This window comes from Homo sapiens, chromosome 17, assembly GCF_000001405.40.
Source record: "Homo sapiens chromosome 17, GRCh38.p14 Primary Assembly".
Lineage (NCBI taxonomy): Eukaryota > Metazoa > Chordata > Mammalia > Primates > Hominidae > Homo > Homo sapiens.
In genome coordinates this window covers 80,612,195-80,635,349 of record NC_000017.11, presented here as the reverse complement: position 1 = coordinate 80,635,349, position 23,155 = coordinate 80,612,195, and the positions used below count along the sequence as shown (strand labels likewise).

General features: G+C 45.3%; 1 protein-coding gene across 2 annotated transcripts in view, besides 5 other annotated features; it reads right to left on the bottom strand.

Moving 5' to 3' along the window:
- RPTOR (regulatory associated protein of MTOR complex 1) overlaps positions 1–23,155 on the bottom strand; it is a 421,531-nt gene that overhangs the window by 331,019 nt on the left and 67,357 nt on the right. For both annotated transcript variants that reach the window (NM_020761.3, NM_001163034.2), the window contains exon 2: positions 9,557–9,659. In NM_020761.3, coding sequence (NP_065812.1) covers positions 9,557–9,659 — 103 coding nt within the window. The remainder of the gene's footprint in view (positions 1–9,556; positions 9,660–23,155) is intronic.
- Positions 15,194–15,394: a silencer, noted in NCBI's record as "peak3026 fragment used in MPRA reporter construct". NCBI's record gives its function as "represses an SCP1 promoter by STARR-seq MPRAs in K562 erythroleukemia cells {active_cell/tissue: K562}" and the evidence as "EXISTENCE:reporter gene assay evidence [ECO:0000049][PMID:32103011]".
- Positions 18,383–18,883: an enhancer, noted in NCBI's record as "H3K4me1 hESC enhancer chr17:78590267-78590767 (GRCh37/hg19 assembly coordinates)". NCBI's record gives its function as "activates a minimal SCP1, AML or CMV promoter by ChIP-STARR-seq in primed H9 embryonic stem cells {active_cell/tissue: H9 hESC(primed)}" and the evidence as "EXISTENCE:reporter gene assay evidence [ECO:0000049][PMID:30033119]".
- Positions 18,884–19,384: an enhancer, noted in NCBI's record as "H3K4me1 hESC enhancer chr17:78589766-78590266 (GRCh37/hg19 assembly coordinates)". NCBI's record gives its function as "activates a minimal SCP1, AML or CMV promoter by ChIP-STARR-seq in primed H9 embryonic stem cells {active_cell/tissue: H9 hESC(primed)}" and the evidence as "EXISTENCE:reporter gene assay evidence [ECO:0000049][PMID:30033119]".
- Positions 20,902–21,401: an enhancer, noted in NCBI's record as "H3K4me1 hESC enhancer chr17:78587749-78588248 (GRCh37/hg19 assembly coordinates)". NCBI's record gives its function as "activates a minimal SCP1, AML or CMV promoter by ChIP-STARR-seq in primed H9 embryonic stem cells {active_cell/tissue: H9 hESC(primed)}" and the evidence as "EXISTENCE:reporter gene assay evidence [ECO:0000049][PMID:30033119]".
- Positions 21,402–21,903: an enhancer, noted in NCBI's record as "H3K4me1 hESC enhancer chr17:78587247-78587748 (GRCh37/hg19 assembly coordinates)". NCBI's record gives its function as "activates a minimal SCP1, AML or CMV promoter by ChIP-STARR-seq in primed H9 embryonic stem cells {active_cell/tissue: H9 hESC(primed)}" and the evidence as "EXISTENCE:reporter gene assay evidence [ECO:0000049][PMID:30033119]".

Below are 23,155 nucleotides of genomic sequence, written 5' to 3'. Positions count from 1 at the left end.
GGCATCTGTCTCAGGATGATGGGAGCCACACTGGCCTGGAATGAGCTCTCAAGTCTGACTGGGCCCTGAGCCCGTGCAGAGGAAGAAGGAGAGGTGTGGCTGCAGAAAGGTGACCATATGGGTGTTGGACCAGGGCAGTGAGAAAGGCAGATATTGGGGTGAAATGGCAAAGGATAACCGGGTCTGAGAGGAGCAGCAATGGCAGAGAGGAGAAGAGGGTTCACACAGGAGGAGGCACCACATTAGCCAATACAATAAGGACAAAGGATACCAAGGTTGTCACTGTCAGAAGATGGAGCTACAAATATGGAAAACCCCCATGAGGTGGAATAGGAGGCATGAATGTACATGTAGAGAGGTACAGAAACGCTGAGACAAATGTGTACAGAGAGAAGCACACGCACATAGTATGCACACGCGGTATGCACACACAGTATGCACACGCACACACTATGCACACACAAAGTATGCACACAGTATGCACACACACACGGTATGCACACACACGGTATGCACACACACACAGTATGCACACACACAGTATGCACACACAGTATGCACATGCACACAGTACACACACGCACAGTACGCACACACACAGTATGCACACACACAGTACGCACACACACAGTACGCACACACACAGTACGCACACGCACACAGTACGCACACACAGTACGCACACACACAGTACGCACATACAGTATGCACACACACAGTACGCACACGCACACAGTACACACACAGTACGCACACACACAGTACGCACACACACACAGTATGCACACACACAGTATGCACACACACAGTACGCACATGCACACAGTACGCACACACACACAGTATGCACACACACAGTATGCACACACAGTATGCACACGCACACACTATGCACACACAAAGTATGCACACAGTATGCACACACACACGGTATGCACACACACACGGTATGCACACGCACACAGTATGCACACACACAGTATGCACACACAGTACGCACATGCACACAGTACGCACACGCACATAGTACGCACACGCACAGTACGCACACACACAGTACGCACACACACAGTACGCACACACACGGTATGCACGCATACAGTATGCACGCACACACAGTACACACACGCACACAGTATGCACACACAGTATGCACACACAGTATGCGCACACACACAGTATGCACACACACACAGTACGCACACGCACACAGTATGCACACACACACACAGTATGCACACACGCACACAATATGCACACACACAGTATGCACACATACATAGTATGCACACACATGCATTTCCTTGCTCTGTCCAGCGAGAGAGGTCCTGGGAGCAATAGCACGCCAGTTCAAAGAGAACACCTGGCACCCAGATCTCAGTTTCTAACACCACATTCCACTAAGAGGAATGAGGCTGGGAAAAAGACTAGATGAGACAAAGTAAGCACATGCTCCACGAATGATGCAAACAAGACAGAAGCCAAAGAAGCCGGCCCAATGGGTTCCCAACAACCAGAGGGAGACAAGCTCGGCACCAAAGGATAACACTGGATTCTAAATCCACTGAATGAAAATGGAGGCCATGAGTTCAAAATGAAGAAATTGAAAGTCACGAGGAAAGGAATATTTGCACAATCTCAAAGCACTTCTTCCCGAAAATACCTATCAACTACAAAGGGGAATTTCACATGAGGTCCAGCAGGCGCCAGCTGAATCAGGTGAGAAGATCTGCATGACCAGTAATGGATAGATCACAGCCCCGCATCACCTGGTGCAGCCCGCGTGAAGCAGGCAGCTCTGCGTGATGCTCCTGCCAGCGAAGCATGACCTAAACGGAATCATTAGGAGACACCGGAGACATTCTACAAAACAAAGAGACTGCCACCTTCAAGCGCCAGGGTGAGGAGGGTCACGGAATGCCTGTGGAACTGCTTCAGACTGAGTGAGAGGAAGTTAGGATGGCGCATGGCTGAGCAGGATCCTGGCGCTACAAAGGACATTCCTGGGACACTGGCAAACCTGCATGCAGCGGACGCTTACGTGGCAGTCACACGTCCACGCGAATGCTCCTTGATTTTGGTGACTGCGTTGTCATCTGGAAAGAGAAACTCCCGGCTGGCAGGAATTACACACTAAGGAATTCAGAGGTGCTGAAGCACCATGTCAGCCGCCTTCTCTCAGAGAATCAGAAAGGAAACAGCTTAGTACTATACTTGCAACTTTTGGAACTTTTTTTTCAAAATGAAAAATGGGCCTAGTGTGGTAGCTCATGCCGGTCATTTCAACACTTTAAGAGGCCGAGGTGGGAGGATCACTTGAGCCCAGGAGTTCGAGACCAGCCTGAGCAACAAAGTGAGACCCTGTCTCCATAAAAAATTTTAAAAGCGTGGGGGATGCACATCTACAGTCCCAGCTACTGAGGAAGCTGAGGGAGGAGGATGGCTTGAGCCCAGGAGTTTGAGGCTGCAGTGAGCTATGATCACGCCACTGCACTCCAGCCTGGGCAACAGAGTAAGGTCTTATCTCACAAAAATAAAAATTTTCAAGTAAATAAACTAAAAAATAAAAGTGGGCTGCTACACACTCCTGCAAATGTGCTGATTCAAATCACTAGGCTTCTTATTCTCTTATGCCATATTGTTAAAACCACCATCACCAGGACCAGGAACCTACCCATTTTTTAATAAAGGCCAAATAAAATTTTTCCAACTTAGAAAAAGCACATGCCCTCCTAAACTCAAAATTCACTTGAAATTATTAGAAAGTAGACGATATTCCTAAACTGCAGGAAAACTTTTAAAACTCAAGTTTTAGAAATCTCATTTGCTGGATCTTTCACACCAAGAAAGAAGCATGGAGTTTTTCCATTCTCATTAACATTGTGTAAATACTGATCAAAGAGACTGTGTGGGAGAGGGCGGTGAGCTCTGATAAAAGCTCAGGCTCCTCAGGCAGGGAAGAGCAACTGGATCCTCAGATGACACCTACACAACCCCGAAGGGCCTGCGCGTCCCGTCCCCGGAGCACACACAGGGATCCGCATGAGGAAGGCTTGTTCGAAAAGCCTAACATAAGCATTGCTGTAGAGGAAGAGAAAATAACTGATTACATTCAGCTGTGACGAGGGACGGATGAAGTGGAAAGAGTCCATGGTGGCTAATAAGAAGTCAATTTCAACCAGCACAGTCACCGGGAGCCAGCAGTGAGCCAAGAGAGCATCTGAAGAAATCAGCCACAAAACACAGCTGCTCCATCATGGGGTGTGGGGGACAAGCAGCCTGGAAGGGGTGAGGGAACTGTCATCCTAAAACACCCTCACATAGTGTGACAGCCAAATAATGCAGGAAAAACAACATTTATTTCCAATTCAGATTAGATGAGATTTAGATGAGAAGAATTTGGGGTTTTTTGAGACAGGGTCTCACTCTGTTGCCCAGGCTGGAATGCACTGGCACAATCATAGCTCATTGCAGCCTCGACCTCCCAAGCTCAAGCAATCCTCCTGCTGCAGCCTCCAGAGTAGCTGGGACTACAGGCATGCCTGTCATCTCAAAATCAGCCACCCTGCCCTCCTAATTTTCTGATTTGTTGTAGAGACATGGTCTCTTACTATGCTGCCCAGGCTGAGAATAATTTGTAGTTTTTGTTAAAGCAATAAAGGGAACTTCTGCTTTTGCTTAGGATGTAGAAAGCTGGGGGGAAAGAGTGGCTCCAATCCTATCAACATGAGAAAGCTGAATAATCACTGACATCATCACTTTTCTTGAGCTCATAAGGGAGCTGAGACCGCAGGGCAGACAAACCGAATCCCACAGGCCCGTCCTCTCCGAGAAAGCCCGGGCACATGCACAGCCCATCTTTGAAGAGCGCAGGTCTGCACAAGAAACCAGCTAAGATGGTAATGTGTCCTCGAGGCCCCAGTGTGCGCTTGCATATCCGTGTGGAAACACAGGGGGTCCAGGCACAAGGGGCACTCACACTCTCCTGCATGCACCCCCACTGCACCCCCACTTCATGAGAAGCATCTGCTGGAGGCAGCACAGAGTGTGGAGAGGCTTGAAGTCCACCTGCCCCCAGAGACCTCCTCCCCTAGGAAGCAAAGCAGGAGACCCTCAGTCCACAAGAACAGGCACACATTCCTGTACCTGGGGAGTGGGAGGAGGTACAGACAAAACCTACCTTGCTCACCATGGGCATAGAACACACTGTCCCAAGACACAGGTGAAGAGCATGGAGGATGGGGTGAGGGAAGGTGCAAAACAGCCTACTCCTGGGATAGGAGCAGAACACGCCCTGGGCACAGAATTCTACACTGAATCGAGGCAGACGTTTGCCATCACTGGGGGACAGGTGAAAACACTGCAACCGCACTACGCCCAAGGCCCAGATGCCCAGGGCCTGCCTAAGACTAAAGAGAGACCAGGACCACAGAGAACTCCCACCACTCCACAGCCTGGCGCTGAGTAACTAGCAATGGAAATCCTGTGCCAGGAGACAGGCAAAGCCAGGGACCACTCAGTGAGGCACGTGGGCAGGCACAGCTCAGGCTAGGGGTGGAGCAGGAGCCCTGGGAAAACCCCCTGGCCTGCCTGTACCCACCCTAATGCACGAGGACTGTGCTGGTCAGCTTTATGTGTCCACTGGGCCAGGCCGTAGCACTCAGCAATTCAATCAAACACAAACCCAGGTGCCACAGTGAAAGTACTCTATACATGTGGTGACATCCACAATCAGCTAACTTAAAGTAAAGGAGATTTTCTTTGGTAATATGGGGGCCTCATCCAATGAGTTGAAGGCCTTAACAGCCAAACTGAGGTTTTCCTGAGAAAGAAGAAATTTCTGCCTCAAGATCACAAGACATGCATGCATACATACATACATACTTATACACACATGCAGGCACACATCTACTGCCCCTGTTTCTCTGGAGAACCTTGACTGACACAAGCACCAACTAATCACTCTAAGAACTAAGAGTGCTGTTGCAGTGGGTATAACCATTACAACAACAAATTCTAACCCCAGTTAACTACTTACTAAACTATAGACTATGCAACTTACCTCATTCGCTATTGTTCTTCTACACACAATGTCCAGCATGCAATTAAAATTTATAAAGCACAAAAAAAGCAAGGAAAAGCAAATTACAGTCAAGAGATGATAAAGGAATTAGGAGACTCAGACTCAGGGCTGACCCTGTTTTCTGAACTATAGATCAAGGACTCTAAGGTAACTATGATGAACACAGCAGAGGCTCTAGAAGGAAAGGCAGGCAATATGCATTTCCCCTAGAGATGGAAACTAAAATAGTCAATGGAAATGCTAGAAATAAAAAACCCAATATCAGAGAAAAAGAATTTCCTTGGCTGGTTTATCAGCAGACTAACAAAAGCTCATTGTGACATGGGAGAGAACAAACGGAGGAGCTGCAGTACAATGTCCAACAGCGCAATACATAGAGAGCTGAGTCCCAGAAGAGACAGACACACGGAAGAGCTGTGGTACAATGTCCAACAGCACAAAACATAGAGAGCTGAGTCCCAGAAGAGAGAGACACAATGGAAGAGCTGCGGTACAATGTCCAACAACACAATACATAGACAGCTGAGTCCCAGAAGAGAGAGACACATGGAAGAGCTGCGGTACAATGTCCAACAACACAATACATAGAGAGCTGAGTCCCAGGAGAGAGAGACACACGGAAGAGCTGCGGTACAATGTCCAACAACGCAATACATAGAGAGCTGAGTCCCAGAAGAGAGAAACACATGGAAGAGCTGCAGTACAATGTCCAACAACACAATACATAGAGAGCTGAGTCCCAGAAGAGAGAGACACACAGAAGAGTTGTGGTACAATGTCCAACAGCGCAATACATAGAGAGCTGAGTCCCAGAAGAGAGAGACACACAGAAGAGCTGCGGTACAATGTCCAACAGTGCAATACATAGAGAGCTGAGTCCCAGAAGAGAGAAACACACGGAAGAGCTGCAGTACAATGTCCAACGACACAATACATAGAGAGCTGAGTCCCAGGAGAGAGAGACACACGGAAGAGCCGCGGTACAATGTCCAACAGCACAATACATAGAGAGCTGAGTCCCAGAAGACAGAGACACATGGAAGAGCTGTGGTACTATGTCCGACAGCGCAATACATAGACAGCTGAGTCCCAGAAGACAGAGACACACGGAAGAGCTGCGGTACAATGTCCAACAGCACAATACATAGAGAGCTGAGTCCCAGAAGATAGAGACACACAAAAGAGCTGCGGTACAATGTCCAACAGCACAATACATAGAGAGCTGAGTCCCAGAAGAGAGAGACACACAGAAGAGCTGCGGTACAATGTCCAACAGCAGAATACATAGACAGCTGAGTCCCAGAAGAGAGAGACACATGGAAGAGCTGCGGTACAATGTCTAACAGCACAATACATAGAGAGCTGAGTCCCAGAAGAGAGAGAAAACAAACAATAAATATTTGAAAAGATAATGGGAACTTTTCAAAAATGAAGACATCAAACTACACATCCAAGAAGCTCACAGAAACCCAAAAAGAATAAATTTCACAGGTGCAGTACTGGGCATCCATAGTCCCAGCTACTCAGGAGGCTGAGGCAAGAGGACCACTAGAGCCCAGATGTTCAAGTATAGCCCAGCCTGGGCAACATTGAGAGACACCCATCTCTAAAAGAAAAAAAAAAGGGTGGGGAGAATAAATTCCAAAACAAACAAACAAAAAACTAATAGGTTATAGATAAAGCTACTGAGAATATAAAGGGAACATCTTGAAGATTGCCAGAGAAAAATGAAGCAAAATATACAGAGAAACAAAGAATTACAGCAGACTTCTCAGAAACTGCTAGCCAGAACACAACAGGTGACTGTTTTAAAAGACAGTGCTAAAAGAGTCAACAGAAAATTACATACCCCGAAAAAATACCTTTCAACCACAAAGACAAAATGAAGAATTTTCCAAACAGAAATCTAGGAAAATTTAATGCCTACAGACCAGCACTGCAAGATATGTTAGAGTAAGTTCTTCAGGCAGAATGATTATGATACCAGATAGAAACTTGGAACTGCGGAAAGAAATGAATGGTCCTCAAAACAATAAATATGAAGGTAAATATAAAAGACATTCATTATTTTTAAAGATCTTTAAAAAACCGACAGTTCAGCAGTTCCTTAAAGAATTAAACATACACTTGGCCAGGCACGGTGGCTCATGCCTGTAATCCCAGCACTTTGGGAGGCTGAGGTGGGTGGATCACCTGAGGTCGGGAGTTCGAGACTAGCCTGACCAACATGGAGAAATCCTGTCTCTATTAAAAATACAAAATTAGCCAGGCGTGGAGGCGCATGCTTGTAATCCCAGCTACTCGGGAGGCTGAGGCAGGAGAATCGCTTGAACCCGGGAGGCAGAGGTTGTGGTGAGCCAAGATCGTGCCATTGCACTCCCAGCCTGGGCAACAAGAGCAAAACTCCATCTCAAAAAAAAAAAAAAAAAATTTAAACATACGCTTAACATATGAGCTAATAATCACAGTCCTAAATATTAACCAGAGAAAATATGTCCACACAAAGATCAAGTGCTTATAGCAATTTTATTCATAATTGCCAAAAACTAGAAACAACCCAAATGTCTGTCAACTAGTAAATGGATAAACAAATTGTGAGGGAGCCATAAAAATGGAATAAAGGAAAAAAACTACTAATGCACGTAGCTACACAGATGAATCACAAATAAATTCTGCTAAAGGAAAGAAGCAAGATACAAAAACTACAAACTATATGTCGCCACTTAAATGACATTCTGTAAAAGGAAAAAATCAGATCAATGGTTTCCAGAGGCCAGAGAAATGAGAGGGGATCGATTACAAAGGGACCCAAGGGAACTTCCTTGGTGTGACAGAAATATTCTATACATTGATTATGGCATTTGTTACATGGCTGTACATATTTGTCAAAACTTAAAGAAATGTACAGCTAAAAAATGTGAACTTTACTGTATATAAATTGTATCTTGGCCGGGCATGGTGTCTCACGCCTGTAATCCCAGCACTTTGGGAGGCCAAGGCGGGTGGATCACCTAAGGTCAGGAGTTTGAGACCAGCCTGGCCAAAATGGTGAAACCCCATCTCTACTAAAAATACAAAAATTGCCTGGGCGTGGTGGCAGGTGCCTATAAGTCCAGTTATTGCGAGGCTGCGGCAGGAGAATGAAATTCTGACACATGCTACGACATGGATGAACTTTGGGGGCATTATGCTAAGTGAAAGAAGGCAGAAACAAAGGGACAAATATCAGTCTACTGATATGAGGTCCCTAGAATGACAAATTCATAGAGACAGATGGTGGAATGGCGGTTACTAGGGGCTAGGGGAAGGCAGGAATGAGGAGTTGTGTAATGGAGACAGAGTTTCTGTTTGGGATGGTGAAAAGGTTCTAGAGATGGACAGTGAGGATGCTTGCACAACATTATGAATTATTTCATGTCGTTCAATTGTACACTTAATAATTCCTAGAATGAAAAATAATAATAATAATAATAATAATAATAATAATAATTCCTAGAATGGTATTTTGTGTTGTCTATGTTTTACCACAATTAAAAAAAAAAAAAAAACAGTCTCTGGACTTGAACTGCATAGGTTCAAATTCCAGCTCTACAGGACAACCGTGAGCAAATTACTAATCTCTATGTCTCATGTTCCTCAGCTCTCAAATGGAGATTAGCAAAAACCCTACCACACAAGGTTGTTGTGAGCATTGTAAAGTGCTTCCAGTGGCGTCTGACACACTACAAGCATTCAGCAAATGATGGCCATTATTATTATGGGCCATGATCCATTATGTGATGCTTTGCTGGAAGTGGTTCCATTTACCTCTTCTACATTTCCATGCAGGTATCAGTCATTCCATTTTTTTTTTAAGTGTACATAGATACTATGTGTGCCAGACAGAACAAATATAAAGTAGAAAATTGGCCGGGCGTGTAATAAAGTAGAAAATTGGCCTGTAATCCCAGTACTTTGGGAGGCTGAGGTGGGCGGATCACGAGGTCAGGAGATCGAGACCATCCTGGCGAACATGGTGAAACCCCATCTCTACTAAAAATACAACAATTAGCTGGGTGTGTTGGCGGGTGCCTGTAGTCCCAGCTACTAAGGAGGCTGAGCCATGAGAATGGCTTGAACCCAGGAGGCAGAGGTTACTGTGAGCCAAGATCATGCCACTGCACTCCAGCCTGGTGACAGAGGAAGACTCTGTCTCAAAAAAATAATAATAATAAATAAAAAAATAAAGTAGAAAATTATATAAGCCAATAATCATCACTGTATTGATTTTTCTGGAAACACTCTCTCCACTACCAATCACAGGTGAGCGCATCGGAAATTACTCAAAGGTGATGTGACTCCAGAAAGAAAAACCCCTCAGATTTGCACAGCTGGAGACGGGCCCCTGGACCAGACCACAGGCTTGGCGAGCCCCGCCCAGGCCAGAGCCGGCCAGACGGCCTTTGTGGCAGCGCGTGAGGGAGGCATACTCACCGATCCAGCATTCCAAGCGTGCACAGGGCGTGGTCTTCACCACATCGGGAGGGTCCACACCAACATTCAGGCACAAAACTAAGGCAACACTGACTGTCTTCATCTGAAAACACAACAGAAAAAAATAAATAAATATTTCAATATGGAACTCGTTTATGTGTTTTTCCAGCTTTTAAAATGTCCCCCAGAACATTGAGCCCCTTCCCTACCCACCTGCCCTCCAGCCAGTCCTCCGCCTGTCACCTGGCTACCCCAGCCCTAGTGCAGGAGTAACGCCCTTCTTTGAAGGCAGGGTTTCACAGCAAAGGGGACAGGTGGTGAGAGGGACGTGGCAGGAAGGGCTATTCTCAGGCTTCCTTATGATAAATCTCCAGAAATGGAATTATTTGATCAAAAGATATAAACATTTTAACGCACTCAATACATTCTGCCAAATTCCTTTGCAAAAAAAATTACACAAATTTACACTCCCACCAGATATTAAACCAGATGTAAAATTCTTGTTATTTAAAACCATCAATCATTTAATGAGAAAAGCTGTCGTATTGATTTAGTTTACATTCGTTCACATCAGTGATGCTGCCTGGTTCTCCTAGAGTGCCTTCACTGCCTGCGTTGTTCACTCTCCGTGGACCATCTACTCACTACTCATTCCTCGTACTTACACTGCGGCCTGGCCACACTCACCTCTCGGCCCTCAAATCCACAGTTCCCTCTGCTGGGAGTTCCCCTCCCCCGGGTCACCTGGCCGGCTCTGACTCTCTCTTCAGATCTCAGTTTAAAGATCAATTTCTTGGGGAGGCCTTCTCTGGATACCCCTCAACACACCTTCCACACTCCCCATCGGGGTGGAGCCAGCTGGGGAACGCTGCGATCACACCTGTCCTTTCCTCCCGGCAGAGCTCCGGCCCATGGATGCTCCTCAGTGGGCTAGAGACTCAAGTCCACTCATTTGAACAAAACCCTGGCCTGGACCAGGTGCTAACTACCTGCTGAGTGAGGGAAGACATGTATTTTGGTACAGTGTTTCTGTTTTACATTGACCCTTTAAGCCGTCTGGATGTTATTCTGGTATATGATACAAGATAAAGATTAATTTTTTCTCATAAAACTAGCCAGTTGTGTCAATCCCTGTTAAATAATCTGCCCCAAACTCACAGGTGTGCACAGATATATGTATTAATTCTCACAGAGACAAAATTCTATTTCTGGGTAATCAAATTCATCCCATTAACCTATCAACCAATACTTCTACTAGTACTACATTAATTTAACTAATTTATCTTTATATTTCATAATACTTGGAAGGGTCATTTTTCACCCTCAAATTTTAATTTTACTTAGCTATTTATATTCACTTATCTTTTTCAAATTAATCAGTTCTTCAATCTTTTAATCCCATTGGGATTTTTATTAAAATTGCACTGAACTAAAATTGCAATGAAGTTTAATTTTAACTTAACGTTAAGAAGTAACATCCTCATAATATTCTATTTTTCTATACAGAACATAATATGGTTCTCCATTTATTCAAATGTACCTTTAACTGTTCTCAGTAACATTTTTATAGTTTTCTTCACGAGTAAGTCCTGTGCCTTTCTTATTAGGATTATTCCTAAGACCTGGTGTTCCATAAATCAGTGGAGCGATGACAGTTAACATTAATTTAATTGACAGTACGGTTAACATTAATTTAATTGAGAGTACATTTCAAGCAGCTAGAAGTGTGTGGTGGTGCACACCTGCGGTCCCAGCTACTCAGGAGGCTGAGGCAGGAGCACCACTTGAGCCCAGGAGTTTGAGGGTACAGTGTGAAATGACTGTGCCTGCCAACAGCCACTGCACTCCGGCCTAGGCAACACAGCAAGACCCCATCTCTAAAAATAAATAAATGAATAAATCATTTTTTAAATACCTAAAGAAAATAATTCGAATGTTCCTAGCATAAAGAAAAGATAGGCTGGGCACGGTGGCTCACCCCTGTAATCCCAGCACTTTGGGAGGCCAAGGCGGGCAGATCACCTGACATCAGGAGTTCAAGATCAGCCTGGCCAACATGGTGAAACCTCGTCTCTACTAAAAATATAAAAATTAGCCAGGCGTGGTGGTGTGCACCTGTAATCCTAGCTACTCCGGAGGCTGAGACAGGAGAATCACTTGAACCTGGGAGGCAGAGTTTGCAGTGAGCCGAGACGGTACCACTGCACTCCAACCTGGGCAATAGAGCAAGACTCCATCTCAAAAAAAATAAAAAGAAAAAAGAAAACGATAAATATTTAAGGTGATAGGTATCTCAATTACTCTGATTTGATTATATGAATGTAAAAAATTATCACCAATAAAAGTATTTTTAATTTTTAATTTTAAGATTTCCAGATATTTCATGAGTGTTTCAGGGAAATATATGTATTTCCCCATAACAGTTTCTTATTGATAATTGCTGATATATAAGAAAAATGGTTAGTTCCTTTACTAAATTCTTAGTTAAATGTAATTGCTTTTTGGTGATTCTTTTCAGGTTTTGAAAGTATACAGCTATATTATCTAAGAATAATAAGTCTGTCTCATTCTTTCCAATAGATCATTCCTCCTGTTTCGGTTTTAGATCTTAGCGTATTGACCAGAACTTCTAAAATAACACTAATAATAACAAAATGATGACAGTGGAGATCTTTGCAGTTGATTTTCATGAGACATAAATGTTTCATTGTTCAGAATGATGCTGGCGACTGATTTTAAGTACAATCTTTATCACATCGAGATAAGATTCTCTATTCAAAACAGAATTTAAAGTTGTATAGGAAAAAGGAAGCATTTTAGTGCCTCCTCTCTTAACAGTTAAAAAAATTTATTAATTATATCACTTTCTTTTTTTGTTTTGTTTCATTTTTGAGGTGGGGTCTCACTCTGTCACCCATGCCGGAGTGCAGCGACATAATCTTGGCTCACTGCAACCTCCACCTCCTGGGCTCAAGCGATCCTCCCACCTCAGCCTCCAGAGTAGCTGGGACCACAGGGTGTGCCACCACACCCAGCTAATTTTATTTGTATTTTTGGTAGAGATGAGGTTTGTCATGTTGCCCAGGATGGTCTCCAACTCCTGAGTTCAAGCGATCCACCAGCCCAGGGCCTCCCAAAGTGCTGGGATTACAGGCATGCGCCACTGCACCCAGCCAATAATATCACTTTCTAAAGGAACTGCATCTCTGCCTCCGTGGATATACTAGGAGAAGAATGTCTTCCCACAGACATGTAACAGAAGCCTCCATTATGAAGCGTAAGAGACAAATGGCCCCTTCATCTATTATCAGGAGAAAGCACTAAAAATCAGAACAACAAAAGTCACTGTATTTAATTAGTCATCCTCCAATATTTAAGTGATCAGTATCCATAATCCCAAATCCCAATTATTGTATAGCAAACTCAGCCTTTGAGGATAAACTGCTTAAAACTAGACATTTCCTGGAAACGTTTCTGTGGTCTTCCTGTGGCCATGGTGAACAGCTGTTAACACCTGCCTCACAACACTTTTAAATCAAGGGTGTTCCTTTCATGCCCTGTAATATGGAGAGGGATTGATTCAAACCCTGGCGCAAGTTCCAAGTTGCTTCCTAAAGGAAGAGGCTGGCTTTGCCTACAGTCATCTGCAGGGTCCCTCTGTGGGAAGGGAAGCCTTCTAATAGACCTTGTGCTTCCCCACAGCTTAACTGGTTCCCCACTGGCTTCTTATCTTGTCCCTAATCTGCAAAGAGAATAGGCCTTAAACTGATGTTAGGCTCCTCTAGCAAAAGCCCGTGGAAGAAACAGCATTAACGGGCCGAATCTGAGACACCCACCTGCTGCTCCCGTGGCCAAGTGCCACCGCCGCTGCCCTGGGGCTTGTCTGGCAGTGCTTTCTCCCCGTTTATCCACATGCTCCGTGCGCCCCAGGAAAAGGTGGGCAGAGCTGTTTTTCTGGGCTGATGTATGCTCAGTAACTTCCCACACAACCCTGTTCTTTCTTGCCCCCGGGAAATTCACAGCCAGGTTTGGGACTCAGTCCCAGCACTTCGGATCAATGGTGACTCCCTGTGCTAGTGCTTATTCCCTGAGCCGTGCAGTGTAGACGCACAGTCCACTTCATCCTTCACCACAGGGACATGAACTAGGTGGTGGCGTTCCCCTCCCAGCGAGGAATCCAGGGAGTAAGGGGCGGCTGCAAGTCCAGGGAGCGAGCAAGTGGGGCAGCCAGGACTAGGGCAAGCTCGCTGGGTGAAGAGGCTCTGCGGCTGCTGGGTCTGCTTCCTCCTCTGCGTCTCGGGGCTGGGGAGGCGGCAGAGGCCGACACAGGGCGGTGATACGGCATTCCCAACACCTCTGACTGATTCCTATTTCTGCTACCTCGGCTGTCATTTTAGACAAGTCATATTCCCTCCACCTCTACAAATGCAGCTAATTAAATTTTTAAAATTTAACATTCTCAGTCAAATGAGTAGCTCTAGTTAATTATAAAAGTATCTCTGAAGATCTCTGAGTCCCTTACACAAAAGTATTAATAGAAGCCCAAGAATCATCCTTTAGTCCCATGGGATGGCTAGGGGCCTCACCTCACTGTGCCTGTCAGCAAGTGTGGTCTTCCTGACTCACCAAATGCTACCTAGAGAGACCATTTCTGACTTCTTTACAGGCCAGCAATAGGAAGGCATGGCCCTCAGCTGGAATGTGTGAAAGTAGCTACACTATACAAAGACAAGAATGAAGACAAGAAATAAATTAATTTCATTCATCTTGTTTATACAATACACACCTAACCCTACATCCTGCATTATACTTTTAAAGAAAACAAGAAAAGCACCTCGCGAATACACTCACACATGAACTAGAACAACGTGTTAGCTCTAATATCTAGCTACCAATTTAACTCCAAAACTGGGCAAAAGACAGTACTATCACATATCCTTAAGCCAAAAAAAATACGTCTTGCTCCTCTGCAGATTTTAACACTGTGAGCCTAATTTCAAATTTGGTAAGTTTTTTGTTTTGTTTTTTGAAACAGACTCTTGCTCTGTTGACCACGATCACGTGCAGTGGCACGATCTCGGCTCACCGCAACCTCCACCTCCTGGGTTCTAGCGATTCTCCTGCCTCAGCCTCCCAAGTAGCTGGGATTACAGGCGCCTACCAGCATGCCCAGCTAACTTTTTGTATTTTTAGTAGAGATGGGGTTTCGCCATGTTGGCCAGGCTGGTCTTGAACTCCTGACCTCGGGTGATCTGGCAGCATCCGCCTCCCAAAGTGCTGGGATTATAGGTGTGAGCCACCACACCTGGCCTCAAATTTAGTAAGTTTTTAAATTCTTAGCTATACCTAAAATGTCTTTTTGGCATTGTATTTTCATTTCTATGGCAACCTCGTTTCAAAAACTCTTGATTAATGTTTTTTAATAACAGTTACAGAATGTTTAAAATGTAAGGGCTATCAAATTTAATGTGCCAAAAACTGCATAATATTACATAAGTTTTTTGACTTTAAGACATTTTCCTCCAATGCAATGTAATTTAAGATGACATCGTTATATCCCCATAGGTTAATTTTGAATTTGAAAAGAGTATCATTTTGAGAAACTATAAAACTATAAATGCTCACTAACAATGCATGGCCTTGGACATGACGGTAAATTTCAATCCCTCCTGAACAGTTTCCTCATCCTTAAAGTGAGGGGGTGGAGACAGATGACCTCTCAGGTGCTAAGGATTTTTCAGATTCTGAAGTTCTGACTCATGACTGGTCTTCCCAGCCATCCTGGAGGCACCCACTAAAGGCTGGAGCACACGCCTAAGGATCCTGTGCCCCGGCTCAAAGATCTCCACGGCACTTTGGATTCCAGGTGGGAGAGGCTGGGGGCCGTCAAGCAGTGGGGTCCTGATGTTATTATAACAGCCTGGGCAGTGTTCTTGATGCTCCTTTGGTGCCAGCTTGGTTTTGAAATTCCACAGTGTTCAGCTTGGTGAAAGGATAATGTGATCCCTCTGCCCCATCTCACATAACACACCCAGGAGGGTTAACACACCCAGGAGGGTTTGGAGCAGCACCCAACACTCACCACGTTAACATTTCCACTCTCCATGGAATCAATCAAGAGTGTCCAGTCTCACCCCAGCTCAGGCCAAGCGTTGCCACCAAATGAGCTGTGGAAATAATCCAGCGTTCAGAGCTTCTGGGTTTCAGAATTGCACACAGGGCCTGCAGACCAGATCACCTCCACTCGAAGGCCTGTAAGCTCAGAGCATGTCACCTCACAGGTGAAAAACCTATTAACGCCTGTCACCTCCCAAAGAATTCAAAGCAAATCACAAGGGATTTCCTTACTAGAGTCTTCCTTCATAACTGATTGGATAAAATCATATATATTTAAAAAGATACAGGTGATCAGGTGGCACAAACAAGCTTGGGTATAAATTCACAGGCTGACGTGCAGTGACACCTAAGTCACCATGCAGAATGAAGAAATTAAACATGTTCAGCAGCCCAATCACTGCCTTCTGTCCCCCACACTGAGAGTGTGGCTCACACTTATCCTCCCAACATCAACAACTGAGAGTTGTGGAAAATAAACACAAAGCAAGACTGGGGCTGGCCACACAGGTCACAACATTCACTATCCCCTGGTTTGTCTGAAGGCAGAGCCACCCAATTCCCGGGAGCGCTCATTAGGATTCACAGCATCAAGCAGAAACTCGGAGCAAAGCCGAAGCTACACAAATGCATAATTTATAAAGAGAGTCAGAAACTAGAACACATAGCAAAGAGAGTAGATATACCTCGCAGGGAAGGGGAGGCGGGTAACCAAGTTGTCCAAGAGAAGGAAAAGCCAGTTTGCCCCTCACTTCCATCCCCAAGCACTGCTACAAAGTGAGCACCAAACCCGCAGGAAGCACATCCAACTGAATTTCTGCAACCAAAACCTGCAGTCCAAAACAAGATCATCATCACCAGCAGCAACTGTGTTAGCTTGGGAGACTCTCTATTTTTATATTCCTTTGTTCATTTCAATGGGAATTGGGAATGAGGGGAGAGGTGCTTGAATCTATGAGCTCAGCTCGTTACCTTGAGCCAGAGGCCTCATTTAGATTTAAGTACTACTCTTTTTTTAGGCCAAATTCTGTCTATGTATCACTGCTTTTAAAATCTGCCTCCACCCCTGTAGAACATCCTGATCAAAAGGAAACGAGAAGAGGAAAATTTCGGCCTCAGGGATGAGGAGGCCTCGCCCACGGCGACCTTCGCACACGTGAGTGCTACAGTCCTCACTTGGCTCACCCCTTCCTGCACCACGCAAACTGCACAAGGGACTTGGTATGAGTTTAGTTCCAACATCACAGACCCTTGAGAAATTTAGATTTCTGAAAGTCAAAATAAGAACTGCATACAAAATAAGTTTCATAAAAGGAATCGTTATAGCTCACTTTAAAGGTGCTAGTTTTATTCTGGGGGAAAAAAAGTTTATTATAGAAACTGCAACTGTTTTGGCCAGGCATGGTGGCTCACGCCTGTCATCCCAGCACTTTGGGAGGCCAAGCCTGGCGGATCACCTGAGGTCAGGAGTTTGAGATCACTCTGGCCAACGTGGTGAAACCCTGTCTCTACAAAATATAAAAATAAATAAATTAGCCGGCTGTGGTGGCACGCACTTATGGTCCCAGCTACTCGGGAGGCTGAGGTGGGAGAACTGCTTGAACCCGGGAGGCGGAGGTTACAGTGAGCCGAGATCACACCACTGCACTCCACCCTGGGTGACAGAGCAAGACCCCGTCTTAAAAAAAAAAAGTTGTAACTATTTTAAGCAAACTAAAGAAACTCCCTTCTTAAGGAATTCCATACTGAATCCTTTTGTGGTTCCTCCAAAAACAAATGGTCAGCCCTGGTGCGGGTGTGTGAAGCCATGCGACTATGCCTGGGGGTCTCTAAATGAACCGCTTCTACCTTGAGGCCTAGCGTGCGCAGCCAGTCAGCCCACCGCCCACCAAGGACTGCGTGAGGAGCTAGGAACCATTTCTTTGCTGTTCTTTAGTCGTCGATAATCCCCAAGGATACTTGTGGGATTTGCCTCTACCCGAAACACCTTATGGGGTGAAATTAACAAAAAAAGAAAAAGTGAAAATAAAAATACTTTGTCACAGAGCAAAAATACGTGATCTGCTGCAGTGCTCTGAGCCCTAGGATTCATTTTTCTCTACACTTACAAATTAATTCCAAGTCATTCAACAGCATAAAATCTAAATACGATAAACTGTATCCTATGGAAGCCTAAAATTCCACGTTGAAGGGCATAATTAAATGGCGTATATTAAACAGTGTTACATGATAAAATAGTATATGTCCTTTACAAAAACATACTTTCAGATTGCAACTGTTGGTGAACTCTGTTGGTAAATGGGTGAACTCTGGGGTATGTGAATTGTATCTCAGTAGAGCTGTTTAAAAAATATGTTCTCAAAGAATATTAAATGGCACAGGACATGCTCAAACATAACTGAAAAGAGGAGGGTACAAAACTGTACCCACAACTGTGATTCCAAATATAAGGTCGTACCAAATGAAAACACAAGATGTCATGAGTGATTCTGACCTCTTCAGAGGAACGTGGATGATTCTTCTTTTCTTCTTTGTACCTGGCCCTTCTGTGTATGCACTTTCCATCTACCATAAACATGTTATTTCTATAAGCATGGGGGGGCAGAAGTGGGGATAAAAATGACTTTACCACAATAGTCAAAAATTTTTTTCATGGTTGTGCATGTATGTCTATACAACTGTTTTTATACCCTGAAGATATAGAAAATAACCTGCGCAGTCAGCTGAAGCTTGGGCGAGTATCCAAGGTAACTAGCAAGCTGGACCGGTGTGAGGAATGTTGTGCTGGCAGTATTGGGCACACTTAAGAGATCGAGTCGTGTTTCACTTACTCCTGGGAACTCTGGTCCTTAAAAACCAACAAATAATTGGTCTTCGTAAAGTAAGTATAGCAAAGGGCTCTAATATTTTTTTTTTCTCCACTCCTTCCCAGTTCAAGATACAAAGTGAAGCCTATTGCTTCAATAGGGCTCAAACGGATCCTCCCATCTCAACCTCCCGAGTAGCTCAGACTACAGGCATGCGCCACCATGTCTGGCTAATTTTCTAAAATTTATTTCATGGAACAAGATTTTCAACTTTCAGGCCGGGTGCGGTGGCTCATGCCTATAATCCCTGCACGTCGGGAGGCCGAAGCAGGCAGATCACGAGGTCAGGAGTTCGAGACCAGCCTGGCGAATATGGTGAAACCCCATCTCTACTAAAAACACAAAAATTAGCCAGGCGTGGTGGTGTGCACCCATAATCCCAGCTACTCGGGAGACTGAGGCAGAATTGCTTGAACCTGGGAGGCAGAGGTTGCAGTGGGCTGAGATCGTGCCACTGCACTCCAGCCTGGGCAACAGAGTGAGACTCCGTCTCAAAAAAAAAAAAAAAAAAAAAGATTTTCAATTTTCAATAAATGGATTGATTTCAAGGCTGTTTAGAGATTTATTTGATAACACACTGGGCCACAGCTTTACTATTCCTGATGCAAATTAAAATTAGCCACATTATCATGGGACTGAGTCATTCATTCAGGGCTAATTTTCCTTCCACTCTTCATTATCCAGCAATATGTTACCCATGGTACAGGCTTCATCAAATCAACCCCAAGGCAAGTAAAAATATGCAGGGCTCCCAGGCAGGCTGAAGACATAAGCCCATGGCATTTCTCAACAGAAAACTCTCAGAATGCTCAGAGCTTTGTTCTGCTTCTGTACCAGCCTTCTGCTTGGGCCAACGCATCTCATGAAGCCGTTCCAAAGGCCCCATAGCTCCAAATAGACGCGGGAGGTGGATTCCAATAACAGAGGCCTGGAAGAAAGGCCTCCGGGCCCCACTGCAGCTGCCACGGCATAAACCTGGCTAAATGGATATTTTCAGGAAGATGACGTCTAACATTAATGACAAGGGCTAACATTTACTTGGGAAGAAAAAGAATGGAGGAAGGGAAATTAGCCAGGAAGCTGTCACGGTGGAATAAGAAGGCCTGAGCTAGGTGTGGCAAGAGTGGAATGGGACAAGGAAGAAAGAAATCTCAATTTCAAAGAGAATAGGTAACAGCATGTGCTGCTAAGTGGGTATCAGAGATGAAAGGCATGGGTGAATCAAAGGTCTTGCACAGCTGAAAACCTAGTAATAAGCCGTCCATTAAGATGCCCCATGGGGAACCACGGCAGACATCTGCCATCTGTAGTTCCCCATAATCTTCTTAACACCTTCCATATATTTGACAATTTCTTATGCTACGGTTCATAGCTTACTAAGGTGGGGAAAAAAAGACTGTGTCCTGACTCCTGCAGCTAAGGGGCCAGCATGTGACCTGGGTTCCTATGATCAGATGCACCTACAAGATCCAATTCTAGACCCTGAGACTCGAGGCCCCCGTTCCACAGGGAGGTGAGCACCCTGTGAGCTGTGTGGCAGAGGCACCTGGCTCTTCAGGAGGCGGTGGCAGGTCTTCTAGGACTCCTCCACTGTCTCAGTTGCTCAGCAGCTACAGAAGCCCCCTTGAAGCCTACCATAACGTCAGGGACCGGCTCTCGGGTCTTCTGGAGATCCTTGGCAAATCCCCTTTCTATTTAACCTGGCGGGAACAGACTCAGATATTTTCTCCGAATGGCTTTTTCTGCCATCTACGTAAGAATGATGGCTTAGCAAACCTCACCTTAGTAAAATAACGTCAGAACTCTCCCCATGACCCAACTATTCAAAGGAATCCTAAATGAGGAATTACCGCAGGACAAGGCCAAAGGTGGAAGGAAATATCAACGTGAAATAACAAATAGCAACACTGCAGTTTCCTCCAAGTCCTGGTGACGAAGGCAACAGCACACGCAAGTATCCTTGGGGATTATCGACGACTAAAGCAGCTGTCGGCAAAGCGAGCACTACAATAAAGTCCATGGTTCAGAATTTTACAAAATGCAGAGTGGCACATGCATCTTCCCTGGGTGCTTCAAAGCCTCTCTTGGCTACAGATTTTAAGATCTGAGCAGTGAGATGGTTTCTACAGCCTGCTATTCACTACACATATTTCTTCTTGACATTCTTGCAATTCTAATTGCCCGAAATATTTTTTCTTTAACATTCTCTATCTGGTCTGATCTCATGAAGTTGAGAGAAACACGTAACATAAAACAAGGAAGGCCACATTTACCACCACAGAGCTCCATCTGAACAGGAAAACCTCACCTACAGACACAGGCCTGCAAAGGCAACGCAGAAGCCAACACAGGAATCAGATATTCTGAAGGAGCCACCTAAATCAGAAATATTTTCTTGATATAGTAATTGTTGACAAAAATTCAAGCAGAGCCTTTCAATATTTGGATTTTTTTTCTTTAGAAAATAAATTTCAAAAATGGCATTCTTCAGGAAATATTTCAAGCATGAGACAAGGTGAGGCCTCTGAAACACTGAGGACAGGCCCCCTTCTCGGGGAGGCCACTTTGCTGTCCCCACAGGCTGGCCTGAGCACACCTCTGGGACCCCCAACCGCAGCATGTGGCTTGGTGAGTATGTGTATTGGGGGTGGGCTCCCCTGGCTCTGGGTGGGTCTTCCAGGCCTGGCTTATCTTTGAGCCCCCAGCACCTAGGGGTGCTGACATGAAGAGAGTGTCCAGCCATTTCCTTGTCAGGAAGGGACAGGACAATGAAAGGCCCCAGTGGAGTGCAGCAGTGTCGCCGGGGAGGCCTTCCACCAACACCAGGAGGAAAGCCAACCTTCTTCCCAAGATCTGGGGCAGGAATCCACTCAGCACGGCCACATCTGGGTGCAGAGATGATGCTGCGATAGACGCTTCATCGTGCTCCACAGCCACTTATCCAGAACACGCGGCCCAGCCCGAGTCTCAACACCGCTTCATTCAACAACAGAGAGCACCTGTGTCCACACAACACGTGGCCCAGCCCGAGTCCAACACCACTTCATTCAACCATAGAGAGCACCTGTGTCCACACAACACGCGGCCCAGCCCGAGTCCAACACCACTTCATTCAACAACAGAGAGCACCTGTGTCCACACAACACGCGGCCCAGCCCGAGTCCAACACCACTTCATTCAACCATAGAGAGCACCTGTGTCCACACAACACACAGCCCAGCCCGAGTCCAACACAGCGTCATTCAACCATAGACAGCACCTGTGTCCTGTTAGTTCTTGAAAGTGTCCATATATGAATGTTACTACATACTAAATATAAGCACAAGAAAAGAAGTATGAAGAGACAGAGATTCTGAATGTTCACTTTGAACGTCTTCATTAAATGCTTGTGGCATCAGAGTCAGGTCCTGGGGCTGCGGTGCCCTGATGAACAAGATGTGCCCTGTCCCTTCCAGGGACAAGAGACACACATAAGTTTCCTTCCAGAAATGCCCAGAGTGCCACAGATCTCCCAGGAAAGACTTAGAACTAACCCTGTCTGACAGCACTGGGGAAAGCTTTGCAAGGCAAAGTGTCACTCGAGTCTGGAGAGAGAATTCACAGGCAAACAAGAAGTGACGGGCCACGGAGGCTGCCAGGAGCAGAGGCAGGAAAGTGGCCAGGTTCTCCAAGCAGAGCCAGCAGGACTCTCGGACAGGATGATGATGATCACTGAAGGCCACACATCACACCAGGGCAGGGGGGCCTTCATCTTACAGGAGATGCATCCAAGGGGGGACCCTGGCTCTGTGGACAGACGCTGATGCTGACGGACTATGGACTTTGAGATGCTTTAGGTTCTTTTTATAACTATACATACACGCTTATATATTTTACTTTCCCCTTAAAATTTCCATCCACATTATGGCCTTACATCTTTGACAAAAGTTTTGTTTGTTTGTTTTTGAGACAAAGTCTCATTCTGCCTCCCAGGCTGGAGTGCAGTGGCGTGATCACGGTTCACTGCAGCCTCAACCTCCTGGGCTCAGGTGATGCCCCCACCTCAGCCTCCCAAGTAGCTAGGACCACAAGTGGGTGCCACCACACCAAGCTAGTTTTTTTGTATTTTTTGTAGAGACAAGATCTCGCTATGTTGCCCAGGTTGTGACAAATGATTTCCAAATCAGTTTCAATTAAAAGTCGAAGAAGAGTATTTACACCTTTCTTTGTACATAAGACACAGGCTTCAGAGAACAAATGAGCCACAAAGCAAAGGCTGAAAATCAGAATGGCTTCAGATAATTCGACACTGGAAGCTAAGCAAGTCAGATTTACAACACAGAATTTAATAACTAGACAATCAGTTATGTGTGAAGACAGAGTAAACATTAAGATTCATATATTAGGCCCAACAGTGGCTCACACCTGCAATCCTAGCACTTTGGGAGGTCTAGGTGGGAGGATCTGTTGAGCTCAAAAGTTCAAGACCAGCCTGGGCAACACAGCAAGACCCTGTCTCTACAAAAAAATTTTTTAATTAGCCAGGCATAGTGGTGCACACCTGTAGTCCCAGCTACGTGGGAGGGTAAGGTGTGAAGATCACTCGAGCCCAAGAGTTAGAGGTTACAGTGAGCTATGA